We start from the raw sequence: 15,424 nt of genomic DNA on the forward strand, positions 1-15,424 counted from the left end.
TTGTTTATAAACAACAGAAATGTATTTCTCACAGTTCTGGAGGCTGGGAAGTCCTACATCAAACTGTGGGCAGATTTGGTGTTTGGTGAGGACCCACTTCCTGGTTCCTAGATGGCTGTCTTCTCGCTGTTATCTTCATATGGCAGAAGAGACAAGAGAGTTTTCTGGCATCTCTTTGATAAGAACACTAATTCCAGTTGGCAGGGGTCGTGTGGGGGTGTGGGACATGAACACTCAGTTGATAGCAGTAAGTTCACGTGGATGTGTAAAGTTCAGCATGCCCATTTACAATAGCTCAGTGTACATTCTTGTCCCTTCCCAGCTAAACCTCACCAGGTCTGACCTTCCTAACAAGTCCATCTGGCTCCCAACCCTACTGAGAGAATCTGAACCATTCTCTGGACTGAACCATAGCATGAAGCCACACACGAGATATCATCTAGAAAGAAAATGTGAATTGTCCTTTCTGGAAAAAAGGAAAAGAGAGAGAGAATTGCTAGCAGTAGAAAGTGGGTTTTCAGGCCTCAGTTTCCAAGAGCAGTGTATAGGTCCTTGGCAGCAAGTCCCAACTGAAGTGCCCAGGAGTACCCTGGTTAAAACACTTGCATAGTTCTGGCCAGGCATGGTGGCTCATGCCTGTAATCCCAGCTCTTTGGGAGGCCGAGGTGGGCAGATCACCTGAGGTCAGGAGTTTGAGACCAGCCTGACCAACATGGGGAAACCCTGTCGCTACTAAAAAAAAATACAAAATTAGTTGGGCATGGTGGTGCATGCCTGTAATCCCAACTACTCAGGAAGCAGCTGAGGCAGGAGAATTGCTTGAACCTAGGAGGCAGAGGTTGTGGCAAGCTGAGATTGTGCCATTGCACTCCAGTCTGGGCAACAAGAGTGAAAACTCCGTCAAAAAAAAAAACAAAAAACAAACAAACAAACAAAAAAAAAACACTTGCATAGTCCTTTAGAAAACCTCAAACACTAGCTTTAGAAGAAGAAACATTTTTTAAAAAAAATCAAATGGGTGCTGCTGACAAGTCAAAGATAAAAATGGTCCTCCCACTTCTCAATGCACTCTTAAGCTTGAGGGCTTCAGGAGATAGTGGGTAGGGGCACATTACTTTGTCTGAAATCACAGCTACATCCTAGAGGATGTTTCCATACCACCCAACCATGGGAGCTGCCATTTGCTCAGCCTCTCTGCCCCTGCCCTAACTCAAGGTGGGCCAGATGTAGGAGCCCACCGCCCTGGCCTCAGTCAGGGACTGGCCCAGAGTTGGCCTTTGACTCACACCAAGCCAGTCAGAACCCTTCCCTCGGATACTGGGAGGGGAAAACAAATCTCAGCCCCTTTCTGGTGGTGAAATTAAGCAATGACAGTCCCCACCATGGGGATGAAGCCAGCCTGAGAGAATGAAGCTGATAAACAAATACAGCAAAGATAGGATGGGGAGAGAGTCCTTGCAGCATTCAAAACCCCCATTCCTATTGTTCCTGAAGTACAACTGTGCCCCTGTGCTCCTTATGGTCATCTGAGCCAAAATATTCCTCTTTTGCCCAAACTAGTTCGAAGTGAATTTCTGTCTCATGTGACTGGCTACTGTAAAAAATGCAGAGTGGTGATGTGTGTCTAAGAGGGCCAGCTGTGAACCAGGAATCCCTCCACTGGAGTCAAGTGTCACACTGTTGAGTGGGGCTTAGGGGAAAGAAAATGAGTAGTACAACATTTTTCTGCTTTGATGCTATAGGAAGGAGGGAAAAGCATGTATTAGTCATGTTTCTGCAGCAATAAAGCTGCGCAATTAACTCCAAAACTCAGAGCCTTAAAATAAGCATTTATTTATTGCACACAAGGGATAATAGTGTTATTCCACTGAGATGGATTAGATTATTGTTCACAATTCTTCATGCTCTCCCTGTAATAAAAGTGCATGCCCTTTATTGTGTGATTCCTCAGGGCCTCCCTGTAGAGTATATTTCCCCACCCCATTGAGGTTCAATCTCATTGTGTGACTTGCCTTGGCCAGTGGAATGTGAGCAGACATGAAATGGACAGAGACTTTCAATGTACTTGCATGGTTTGGCTTGGATTCTTGGGTTCCATTAGTGCCTTGAGAAGAGCATGTCCTTGGTGCTGCTAGTCCCAGAATAGACATGTGCAACAGGCCTGAACCTGGAGCCAAGCCCAGCCAACCCCAGAAGAGCCCAGCACAACCACAGCTGACTCACAGGACCATGCAAGAAAAGTAAATGCTTGTGGCTGTATGCCAGCAAGTTTGGGGAATGTTTGTTACTCAGCATTATTTCAGCAGATGCCTGACTACTGTAAGAAGTACTCACTACACAGTAGGCACTGTGCTAGATGCTTAGCATGTGGCTTCTTATTCAGTCTTCACAATAACCATATAAGGTAGATGTTATTATACCCACTTTACAGATAAGGTGATTGAAGCTCACAGAGTTCAGTTCTTTTCCCAATGTAACACTGCAGATAATGACAGGCCAGATTTTGACATCGACTGACCCATTATATTGAGGTCCACCATCCTTTTATAACACATGTGCATTCTTTTCATTTGAATTAGGGGGAAAAGACATGTTCAAAGGGGTCCCAGCCCTGAGAATTGGATGTCTGTTATCATCAGATGCACTGCACTGCATTCCACAATGCAGTGGGAATCAGTGGTGACAACAGCTGTCAGCCAGAGGGAGAAAAAGTTGCTTCTAGCTCCTGCCAGGCTGAAGTAAGAGGCCTGATGTGCAGGCTTAATGTGTGGAAAAGGTCATATATAACCCCCTGTCGACATGCAGTATTGACCTGGCAGATATTGATGGTGGCCACTCTAGTTGTCATTTCTCCCTTCTTTCTTGTTAATAAAACATCAGTTTTATTCCAGTAGCAAAATACCCAGCCTCAGGACATGAATTGTGATATAATCCAAAATAGTCATGCAATCTTCTCTCTCTTTCCTAGATACTAGGTCCAAGTATGGGCGTCTGACCCAGTTCTGGAAAATGAGACGCTCAGGGAAGTCTACTTGGTGCTTCTGGGAAAGCTATTTCTCCCTAGTAAGAGAGAGACACCCTCTTCCTTACTGCTGGATCATTGTGGTGAGGATCTGATGACTCACTTAGAAGACATCACCTAGCGTGCTGAGAATGATGGAGCAGACAGATCAAGATCTGGGTCTAGGACAACATCACTGAGTGGTTGAAACAGATCTGGAAGTATCTGCTTTCCTGTTCACTAACAATCAACCTCCTTACTCTTTAAGCCACTGCTAGCAGGTTCTCTGTTACTTGCAGCCAAGCATATCTGTATTAGTTATCTACTGCTGCATAAAATGACCACAAATATTTCAGCCAAGAAAAGGAAAAAAATGAATAAACATGGTAATTATTTAATATGAGTGATGGATCTATAAATGCATTATACTATCTCAACTGTTAATTATATTCACATTTTTTATGATTTTTTTAAAAATCTGGCTACACTTTTCTGATCTGCATAGAGCCAATAACTCCACATTAAACATAGAGAGTTAAGGGAAAGCATGTTGAGAACATCAAGAGTGGCTCTGAGCTGGGGAGGGGTTGCCCTCTGAGGTCTGCCGTTGCCTCCCGTCCACACTGTGACTCTGCAACACATATGCTCCAACCCTGCCATCCAAATACACACCTAGTTTCCCAAACGGACCAGGCTCCTTCACGCCCTACCCACATGCTTTTGCATTTTCTCTACCCTTACCTGGGAATGTCTTCCAACAACTTCTTTCATGCCATCTACCAGTTCCACCTCGAAAATTCAGTTCAGCAAGTGTCAGTTCTTCAGTAAGGACTTCCCCGATGCCATCTGCTAATCAGAATGGACTCTGCCCCCACCCCCACCCAGAACACCCATTGTTCCTTATGAAGATGATTATTACAGTATGCATCACATTATGTTGCAACTATTCATCTTCTTGTCTGTTTCCCCCACTAGGCTAAGAGCTTCTTGAGAAAGGGGTTCCCCATTCATCTCAGTATCACATTGTTAACATAGGATTTGGCACGCGGTAAATGCTAGTTAAATGTTTGTTGAATAAATCAGTGGTTGAATTAATAATTAAATAAATAAATGAAAAAAATCTAGCAGCTAGCAACAACATTTATACATCCAATTTAAATCTGTAGATCGGACAGTGATGAGCCCTGAGAGATAGTCAGCTTACCACGTGATTTCTGCAGCCCCACTATGCCCTCCCTAGACCTCTGAGTTTCCCTTGGTCTAAATACGAGATCACTACAAATCCCAACACAGAAAAGTCTCCAAGACACTAAAATTAAGAAAAAACACCAGGCTAGATTCCTTTGTGTGACTCAGAAATAAACACCAAAGGCAATTCCTAAAAGGAGCTACAGTTGTCTTAGAATCCAACCTGGAGAGGGCAGCTTTGTTGGCAGCTGCCATTCTGTGCCAGTAGGGCTCAGAATGATGGAGCTATGTTATAGGAAGGCAGATTTGGGCTCAATGTCATGGATTTTCTTTAAAAGTTACAGTTGTCCAATCAAGGCACAGGCTGCCTCCTAGAATCAAGAGTTCCTCATTCGTCCAAAAGTCAACAATTGTTAACTGAGCACCTCATGGTCCAGATGTGGGGGTTACTACAGTGAACAATGTAGGAAAGGCCACTGTCCCCTGCAGATGACAGGCTAGATAAGCCAAGGCAAAGCCTGGGTGATTCCAGGAAGACTGCAGAGGGGGTCCTCTCAGTCTAGACCCCTGGACACTGGACCAGGTGACCTCCAAAGCTCCTTTCAAATATAAGATCAGGCTGGGTGCAGTGGCTCACACCTGTAATCCCAGCACTTCGGGAGGCTGAGGATGGCAGATCACCTGAGGTCAGGAGTTCAAGACCAGTCTGGCCAAAATGGGGAAACCCCTTCTCTACTGAAAATACAAAAATTAGCTGGGCGTGGTGGCAGGTGCCTGTAATCCCAGCTACTCAGGAGGCTGAGGCAGGAGAATTGCTTAAACCCAGGAGGTGGAAGTTGCAGTGAGCCGAGATCGCGCCATTGCACTCCAGCCTGGGTGACAGGAACAAAACTCCATCTCAAATAAAATAAAATACATAAAATAAAATATAAACAAATATAAGATCTGTTTTTCTTGTCCTGATGATCCTGTCTGAGTTATCAATTTCATGTAAGACAAGTGGCTCTTAGGAATCTTCCAGGGGAGGGTGGAAAAGTTACTAGATACCCACAACTTCAAAGGATATAAACTTGAGAAAGCTAGAACCATAACTCTGTTCTGTCATCATGTTCATCACAGATCTTGGCACGTAGGAGAGACACAATACAAATTTAAATGAATAAATAAGTAATTTAACTACATGGAAAGGGGGAAGAAAGAGTAATGTCAGCTGGGAAGATGGAGCGAAGAAGGCTTTGTATGGGGGAGATATTAAAACTATGAGAAAGAAGGATAAAGGAGTTTAAAGTTTTTCTTTGCCTTTTTATGTAAATTCCCTGCATCATTTTTTTTTTTTTTCTGAGACAGAGTCTCACTCTGTTGCTCAGGCTGGAGTGCAATGGCACAATCTTAGCTCACTACAACCTCCGCCTACCGGGTTCAAGCAATTCTCCTGCCTCAGCCTCCCGAGTAGCTGGGATTACAGGTATGCGCCACCATACCTGGCTAATTTTTGTATTTTTAGTAGAGACGGGGTTTTGCCATGTTGGTCAGGCTGGTCTAGAACTCCTGACCTCATGATCCACCCACCTCGGCCTCCCAAAGTGCTGGAATTATAGGTGTGAGCCAGCGCGCCCGGCCTCCTGCACCATTCTTAAAAGGACTATACTAAAAACTTAAATTGCCTTTTCAGTTGCTTTCGAATTCTAGACTGAGGTTTTTTTGCAGCATGAGATTTGTGTTGAGCCTGGACACAAGGTGACCCACAATTCATATGAATTATAAATTTTTTAACATTGTCAATAGTCAATTGGAAGTGATAGCTTTGAGATGCCAGTCTTGTGCAAGATGGGACTGTTCCATACACGACTACTGCCATGCTGTAAACCCGAGCCACTAAAGACCATTCCTGAGGTTCATGGATCTACAGTCAGCTTGTTGTCCAGCCTTGTTGGCTCATTCAATTTTCCTTTTCATGTTGCATTCATACTCTTGCTAAGGAAGGAGTCAGAATGTACTGAACTGAGAAAGGACTGATGAGATTTGTCATGTCTCATTTCGATTGGCTGGTGGCATACAAAACATCTTTTGATACAAAAGGCCCCCATAGCTCTTGCAGCATAGGTTGTCCACAGCAACAGAAGTGGAAGTCTTGGACAGGTTCAGTTAAAATTTCTGCACACACCTGAGTACCGACTGCTCCAGAGACTCTCTGGGTCACTGGGACAGGCAACCTCTTCACTCGTGGGTGCCAAAAATGCTCCTGCACCCCCATTGCTCTCCTCCTACTGCTATGAGCTGTGTCCTGCTCCATCATTTTCCTAAACAACCCCAGGCTTCAACATTTCCTGTCACTCCAACACAACATATTCCCTGGATTAATCCATACAAAAGTCCCAAGAGTCAGTCACTACTGACCTAATTTTATAGATCCTAAGGTCACACAGCTAATAAGTAGGGAAACATGCCATAGATCGAGTATTCCAATGACTCTGTCATAAACTGAATGTTTGTGTCCCCCCCCCAAAAAAAAATTCATATGTTGATGCCCTGACCCCTAATGTGACTGTATTTGGAGATGGGATCTTTAAGGAGGTGATTAGAGTCATAAAGGCAGGGCCTAATCTGATAGGATTGGTTTCCTTATAAGAAGAGAGGCTGGGCACCATCGTGCATGCCTGTAATCCCAGCACTCTGGGAGGCTGAAGCAGGAGGATCACTTGAGGCCAGGAGTTCAAGACCAGCCTGGGAAACAGTGAGACATCGTCTCTACACAAAATTTAAAAATTAGCCAGGCGTGGCAGCATTCGCCTGTAGTCCTAGCTACATAGGAGGTTGAAGTGGGAGGATTGTTTGAGCCCAGAAGTTTGAGGCTGCAGTGAGCTGTGGTTGCACCACTGCACTCCGGCCTGGGAGACAGAGTGAGACCTTGTCTTTAAAAAAGATAAAGAAGGGGCCAGGTGCAGTGGCTCACGCCTGCAATCCCAGCACTTTGGGAGGCCAAGGTGGGTGAATCACTTGAGGTCAGGAGTTCAAGACCAGCCTGACCAACATGGTGAAACCCCGTCTCTACTAAAAATACAAAAATTAGCCAGGTGTGGTGGTACATGCCTGTAATCCCAGCTACTCAGGAGGCTGAGGCAGGAGAATCACTTGAACCCCGGAGGCAGAGGTTGCAGTGAGCCAAGACGGCACCAGTGCACTCCAGCCTGGGTGACAGAGTGAGACTCTGTCTCAAAAAAAAAAAAAAAAAAAAAGAAAGAAAGAAAGAAAAGAAAAGAAGAGGAAGAGACACTCAGAGATCTCAATTTCTGTTTGCACATGCACAAAAGCAAGGCAATGCAAGAACACAGCAAGAGGAAGCTGTCTGCAAGCCAGGAAGAGAGTCCTTACCAAAAATGGAATTGGCTTGAACCCTGATCATGGACTTCTAACCCTGAGAACCATGAGAAAATAAATGTCTGTTGTTGAAGCTTCTGCCCACTCTGAGCCTTTGTTCATCCTTCCTCCTCTGCACTTCAGTCCCTTTCCTGACTCAGGTGCACCAACACTGCTCAAATCTCTAAATGAGCATCACCTCCTCCATCAAAATGTAACCCAGGATCCCCGGATTTGGGGATACTCATTGTCCAAAAAGTACCCAGTTGTAACTGTTGCATTTTGAATTTTTGTTGTTTCAAAAGTTTCAAAAAGAAGCCTAACCCTGGCAAAACCAAAACTGGTTAGCTCCAGAGATGCCTGAATTCGAGTGAACTTTGGGGAATTATCCTCATCACCACACTAAAAAACCCCATCCAGGGAGGAGCTTATTGGCTGTTTTCTATGGATGTGACGTCCATAGAAGCATGCTCGGCAACTGCACCTGTACATATAATGGCTCAGCTAATCAGCCTAATAAATGCCCTGTTTTCACCTTTGTTTGGGGACGCACTGCTTTGGGCACTGTCCCCAATGTCCTCCTTCCTTGTTGCAAGCAATGAAATCCCTGTGTTAAATCTTCCTTGGTTGTGGTCATTGGACTGCCACCCACCTGATGTGTGTACAACAGAAACATTCCTGACTCCTTACATTGAGCTCTGTATGGGTATCAGTAACAGTGGTAGCAACAACTAATATTTATTGAGCACTTACTATAATCAGGCTCTCGGCTATGCTTTTTTATTTTTTATTTTTTTAAGACAGGGTCTCTCTCTGTCGCCCAGGCTGGAGTGCAGTGATGCGATCTTGGCTCACTGCAACCTCCGCCTCTAAGTTCAAATGATTCTCCTGCCTCAGCCTTCCAAGCAGCTGGGACTACAGGCACGTGCCACCACGCCCAGATAACTTTTGTATTTTTACTAGGGACAGGGTTTCACCATGTTGGCCATGACAGTCTCGAGCTCCTGACCTGAAGTGATCTGCCTGCCTCAGCCTCCCAAAGTGCTGAGATTACGGGCATGAGCCACCATGCCTGGCCTCTGCTATGCATTTTATCCCCACTATGTCACCTCATCTTCACATCCACCCTTAGACAGACAGTATTTCTAGCCCCATTTCATAGATGAGGAAACTTAGGTGAAGCATCTTCCCCAACCGAGTAAGTGGCAGGGCCCAGATTCCAACGCTGCTGGTCTGACTGCAGAGCCTGCAACCTTGCCTGCTTTTGCAGCATGCTAACATTCACTACCTGAACTGTCTGCTGCTCTGTCCCCACCATCAGACTTTGAGTCCACAGGACAGGGACCTTGTCTGATTCACCCCTGTATCTCTGCACCTTCAATGCCCCACACAATGTTTGGCACATCTGGGGCCTCACAAAGGCTTGAAGAATGAATGAATTAATAAAGGAATGAATGAATGCCTCTCCTCACACTTGTAGCCACCTGTCACAGTGATCAGGAAATATCCAGTTCCTTTGACTGTGGCTACTCACAAAGAATCTCAGTGTGGGATAATGGAAGTTACAGCATGTGCCGTCTGTCCACACAGACTCCAGTCTCCATGCGTGCATGTCTGAGTGAACAGATAACTCACGCTGAGATTTACTTAGAAGGCATTTAATTCAGCTCACACTTCTGCCGACCAAGCCTATTACTTGCAGAAATCTATTCCATGCATTACCATTTTGATTTCCAGTGCTGAGACAGTGGTGGTTTGGTAGCATCCTTTTTTTATTTTTTCTCCTCTCACCAGTTGAGTTACTGTCTGTGTTTGTGGAATAAATTGCTATACATTGAGTTACCAACACTCTAGAATGGGGAAATATATTCTCAATGCTCTATGGGCAGCTGACAACATTATGGAAATACACAAAGTGTGTGTCAAAGTTTATGTGAATGGTGATGAGTTGTGATGGATGTTGGAAGAATGGGGGGTAGGATGGGGGGTGAATAGCGGTGCCCTCAGAAAAAGTGACACTCTCCATGTACCCTTTTCTTCCCACTGCAGCTGGCCTCAGCTTCTCAGACAGGAGTTTTAAAGGTGGAAAGTTAGGGTCAGACAAACAGGAGGAGCTGGTCACTGGAAAAACAAGTTTGGACAATAAGATAAACAGCCCCCAGAGTCCAGTAAGCATGATGCTGGGGACACTGTAGGTGCTCTACTTGTACTTTTTTATTATTCTTTTTTTTTTCTTTTTGAGGTGGGGGTCTATGGAGTCTTGCTGTATCACCCAGGCTGGAGTGCACTGGTGCAAACTTGGCTTACTGCAGCCTCCACCTCTCAGGTTCAAGCAATTCTCCTGCCTCAGCCTCCCGAGTAGCTGGGATTACAGGCGTGTGCCACCATGCCCAGCTAATTTTTGTATTTTTAGTAGAGACGGGGTTTCACCATGGCGGCCAGGCTGGTCTCAAACTCCTGACCTCAAGTGATCCACCTACCTCATCCTCCAAAAGTGCTGGGATTACAGGCATGAGCCACCGTGCCTGGCCTTTTTATGATTCTTACTGGGTCCTGTGTGCCTTTGCTTCTAAAGGCTGCACCCGCTGAGTGTCTCTGGAAGCCGGCCCTTGGGCACCTTCACAGGCCCCTGGGTGCAGTCCTGAGCCAACAACCGTGTAGTGTGGGAACATGAAAGGCCAGCAACCTTGCTGAGTCGGAACGAACTCTAAGGTCTAATATATACTGCAGAGCTGCCCACAGAATCAGACTGAAGCTGGGGCTTCACCTGAAGTCACTGCCTTGCTTGGCTTCTCTCCCTTCCCTTTCCTTCTGGCCCAATTTGCTCACAGCTTTCTCCTGGGAGCACCTCCTGAATATACCATTTGTACATGAAATGTTCATCTCAGGGGCAGCCCCTGAGTGTGTAGTCAGGGGATCTCAACCAACTGAGAAGGTCTCTGCGTCTGTGTGAGTGGGTTCTGGAAAATCCAGCAGTTGGTGGGGCAGCAGTGCCCAGGGGCACAGGATGGGAGTTAAGGGCAGCAAGGGAATCTCCAGAAAACCCAAGTGCCTGGCGGACAGTCAGCTCCCATCTCATACCAAGCCAAAGATCATGAAGCCATAGGATGCTGTTAACAGGCACATAAGAACTGTGCTGACCCACTTTCCTTCTTTCCACACTTCTCTACCCAATACTCCACAGCAAAAGGAATCAGAAACAGCAGATCTTAGTGAAAAAGAGAAAAGGGCTATCCCCCTTCCCAAAGCCAGTGTCCTGTCTGCAGCTAGTCCCAGCTGGATGGGGGAAGGAGGAGTGTTACCTTGGGAAGAGACTCAGGTTCTGTTTTGCAACTCCCACTGACCATAGGGCTTTGTCTTGCCTCCAGTGACAGACAGAGTCATGGAGATGAGCAGAGTTTTCATCCAAGGACAGGGAAAGGACAGCCATCCTCCAGCCAGCATTAGAGGGACAGAGTGAAATAATAACAAAGTGGCTTTCATGAGTATCCCTTTAAGCACTAAATGTTCCGCATGCAATTTACACATCTAATAAGTACTTCCCATTGGTATTATGGTTACCATTTGTCTTATCATTGATTTGCTAGGTATAATGGTTTCTTATTGCCCCTAGAGGGACATGCTGTCAACAAGAATGTACCGGTGAGAATGGAGGCAGAAAGATCAGTTAGGAGGCAGCTATGGTAAGACATGATGTAGCAAATCCCGGGAACTGGCTACTCTAAGCCATCTGCACACCCCCTGCCCCTGCACACTCACTCGAGCCCCTCCCCAGTAAAAAAGACAAAGGCTCTCAATTAGGAGTTATGGCCTGGAATGAGGAAGTGACGCCTGGAGAAGCAGCAACTACCCTGTGACCACAAGAACCAGTGCCAACACTGAGGATACTGGAGTAGAAACAGGAGGAGGCACCAGGGTCCCTGATGACATTTTTGGGCATTTGTTCCAGTTCTGGACTGCCTGCCCCAGACTTCCTTTTGCATGTAATAATACACCCTTCACCTTTGTAAGCAATGGAGCTGTTTTCTGTTACTCAATGTCAGGCCTCTGGGCCCAAGACTGCACATACATATCCAGATGGCCTGAAGTAACTGAAGAATGACAAAAGAAGTGAAAATGGCCTATACCTGCCTTAACTGATGACATTACCTTGTGAAATTCCTTCTCCTGGCTCATCCTGGCTCAAAAGCTCCCCCACTGAGCACCTTGTGACCCCCACCCCTGCCAGACAGAGAACAACCCCCTTTGACTGTAATTTTCCACTACCTACTCCACTCCTATAAAACGGCCCCACCCCTATCTCCCTTTGCTGACTCTCTTTTCGGACTCAGCCCACCTGCACCCAGGTGATTAAAAAGCTTTATTGCTCACACAAAGCCTGTTTGGTGGTCTCTTCACAGGGACACACATGAAACTCAATCCTGACCAATATGAGGCATGAGAGCCTGGCCTAGAGAAGTTGTGGAGGACAGCGGAGAGGAAGTACTTAATACTTAGGAGGTGGTAGAATTGACAACACTTTATGCCTAACCAGACATGAGGGGAGGAGGAAGTCAGGGAGGAAAGAATGTCTTCCCCAACATAAGGAATACAGCAGGAGAAACAGGTTTCAGTGGTAAAATCAGAGGTGCATCATCATCATGTCAATAAGCTGCTTCAGACCGTATTGTTTTCCCCCGAATTCTTATATTGAAGCCTTAACTCCCAGTGAGACTGTATTTGGGGCTAGGGCCTTTGGGAGATAATTAGGCTTAATGAGGTCATGAGGGTGGGGTCCTCGTGATGGGATTAGTGCCCTTATAAGAAGAGAAACAGACATCAGCGCTCTCCCTCTGTCTTGTGAGGACACAGTGAGAAGGCAGCTTTCTGCAAGCCTGGAAAAGGGTCCTCACCAGACCCTACCACACTGCACCCTGATCTCAGACTTCCAGCCTCCAGAACTGTGAGAAATCAATGTCTGTTATTTAAGCCACACTGTCTATGATATTTCATTAGGGCAGCCTGAGCAGACTAATATGTAAATGCTGTGCATTGTGCTAAGAAAACAGGTTTTCCCTGTTGTCCCAAAATTCTGCATAAACCCCCAAACTAGGGACAATGGGCATGAAATCCTCTCACATTCTAAAAAGCACAGTGACATAGCCATGCAAGATGAGCCAAGAAAGGACAGAAGTACCTCTGCCCCACAGCCATCACCCCTTCCCAAGCCCCTCCAACCTTTATCAGCAAAAGACCTGGAGGAATTCCAGAGGACTCACTAGACAAGGGAGTATTTGAAATATGGGGAGAGCGCTGTGTCTTTTCGTTTCCTGCTGTACGGCCCTGGCTCCCACCCAAGCCAACTTCAAGAAAGTCATTTGCAAAGATTAGGGCTATGGCATCGTTTGGGTTCCCCAGAAGGAGACCTTGAGGCAAGAATCCAAGGACACGTGACTAACTTGAGAGATTATCCAAGGAAACTCCAGGAGGGGAATAAGAAAGAGCTGGAGAAAGAACGGCAGTGAAAAGGGTGTGGTTATTGAGAAGTGACCACTGTGGATGAGAGGGAATTCATCCTGCTGTGAAACACTGGGAGCTAGTGAGGAAGACGACTTTCAGAGTCATCCCACCAGGGGGCAAGGGACCTGGGCATTTATTAATACACGCCAACACTCACCAGTCATCATGGAGGGCTGCTGCTGTGGTGTTAATTTCCTGGTACTTAGGCCCACTACTCTGGCCCGGGGCCTGGCCACTGTAGAACGCCCTCAGGCAAAGAGATACAGGGGCTGCCCTGGAGGTTAGCCAGTGAGCACTTTAGCAGAGACAAGGAATGTAGGTAGGAGACATTGCCCACATCCCAGCATCTGCTAGGGGCTGCCTGAAAGAAAAGGACCCTAGATCTGTGTTTCTGCAGCAGACTCTCTGATCTGCCCCTTAAGTCTAACAGAACAGGGGAGAAAAGACCTGGAGCGAGGCACAGGGTAGGGGGTGGAGGTGCAGCAGCAGGCACTCCCACTATAGCATGGCAAAGATGCGTGAGTCTCCCACAGGCGGAGAGAACACCACTGAAGGACCAAGACTTGAGCAATTTCCACGTCCAAAGATCCTAATCATTACCCAAGGAGACTTGAGTGGCAAGAAGCTGTGGGCTCCCCCTGGCAACGATGGGGGCTAATGGGGTGGTCAGGGCTCCCACAAGAGCTCTTCACGAGGACCTCTGAAGAACCCACACAGGCACCCTGAGAAACAGCTAGCATCCTGCCCATTGCTCCCAACCTTTCCCATCCCTCTCCCGGCGCAGGTCTCTGGGGCTGGGTCAAGCCTGAGCGGGAGGGTGGGAAAGAGGAGCATTAAATGAAAAACCAGATTGAAGTACTTAGCTGCAAATGACCAAAAATCTCAAGGATCTGCCTACGATATTGTAAGAAAGATAAGAGTAGAGCAGAATATGCCCCCACCTGGTTCAGACAGTTCAATACATCCTTGATAACAACCAGCTATTGAGTACCAGACACACAGCGAGGTGTTCCTCAGGGCTGAGCTCATCTAATCCTCTCAGCAACCTTAGGGGAAGGTGTTACTGTCCCTACTGTACAGCTGAGAAGTGTGAGGCTTAGAGAAGCTACACAGTTTGCTCAGGATCATACAGGCAACGCATAGCAGAGTCTAAATTCAAACTCGGACCATTTTCATTCTGGTGCCTTGTTCATCAACTGGTAGGTAAATTATGGTATACCCATACAATAGAATACTAGTCAGTAACAAGAAGAAATGAATGACAGATGCATGACGGAACCTGGATGAATCACAAAAACGTTATGCTGAATGAAAGCAGGCAGACACAGAAGACTACTTTCTGTAGGATTCCATGTATATGAAATTCTAGAAAAGGCAAAGCACAGTGCCAGGGAACAGATCAGTAGTTGCCAGAAGCCAAAGACTGGAGAAGAAATGGGGCATGGGAAGCTTTCTGGGGTGGTAAAAATGTTCTATACCATGGCCAGATTCTGTGGCTCATGCATGTAATCCCAGCACCTAAAGGTGTTAGCAGAGCCAAGGAGGCTCTAGCCATGTGAGGGCATGGGCTGGAGAGGAGGACAGAACTAGAGAAATAAAATGAAATGACAGGTGGTAGAGTTGAGAAAGGGATGGACAGGGAGCAAATCCTAGAGTAAACATCTGACTGAAAAGAGACTTAGAGATGAACTCTAATCCAATGCCTGCCCCCACCTTTAAAGTTGGGGAACTGAGACCCAAAGAGAAGATTAAAGCAGCGGCAGTGGTGCTGGGGGGGCTGTTTACCTCTGTATTGGTCCATTTCACACGACTCTAAATAACTGCCTGAGACTGGGTAATTTATAAAGAAAAGAGATTTAATTGACTCACAGTTCCACGTGGCTGGGGAGGCCTCAGTAAACTTACCATCATGGCAGAACGGGAAGCAGCCATATCTCACACGGCAGCAGGAGAGGACGCTTGTGAAGGAAGTGAAGGGGGAGGAGCCCCTTATAAAACCATCAGATCTCGTGAGAACTCACTCACTATCACGAGAACGGCATGGGGGGAACCGCCCTCATGATCCAATCACCTCCCACCTGGTTCCTCCCTCAACACCTGGGGAGTACAGGTCAAGATGAGGTTTGGGTGGGGACACAGAGCCTAACCATCTCAACCTCCTTTATTTCATTCTTTCAACAAACATTTACAAACAGCTTGTTCTACATAGCAGACAGTCCAAGTCAAACAGGGCAGAGCCCCTGCTCTCCGGGAGTCCACAGCCGGAAGACGGACAGCCAGATGCCCTGGAAATTTACACTTCATGATGCTCAAGACGCTCAATGTCCCAGTCCCCCAGGCTGAGTTACCAAAGTATTGACATAAGAAAGGGGACTACAG

The 15,424-nt window shown here is 46.5% G+C and overlaps 1 long non-coding RNA gene across 1 annotated transcript in view; it reads right to left on the reverse strand.

Annotated features, from left to right (window-relative positions):
• LINC01399 (long intergenic non-protein coding RNA 1399) overlaps positions 1-15,009 on the reverse strand; it is a 111,233-nt gene extending 96,224 nt beyond the window's left edge. The window contains exon 1 of the long non-coding RNA NR_126356.1: positions 14,951-15,009. This is a non-coding gene — a long non-coding RNA (long intergenic non-protein coding RNA 1399). The remainder of the gene's footprint in view (positions 1-14,950) is intronic.
• Positions 15,010-15,424: the final 415 nt, after the last annotated feature.

This window comes from Homo sapiens, chromosome 22 (genome assembly GCF_000001405.40).
Source record: "Homo sapiens chromosome 22, GRCh38.p14 Primary Assembly".
NCBI lineage: Eukaryota > Metazoa > Chordata > Mammalia > Primates > Hominidae > Homo > Homo sapiens.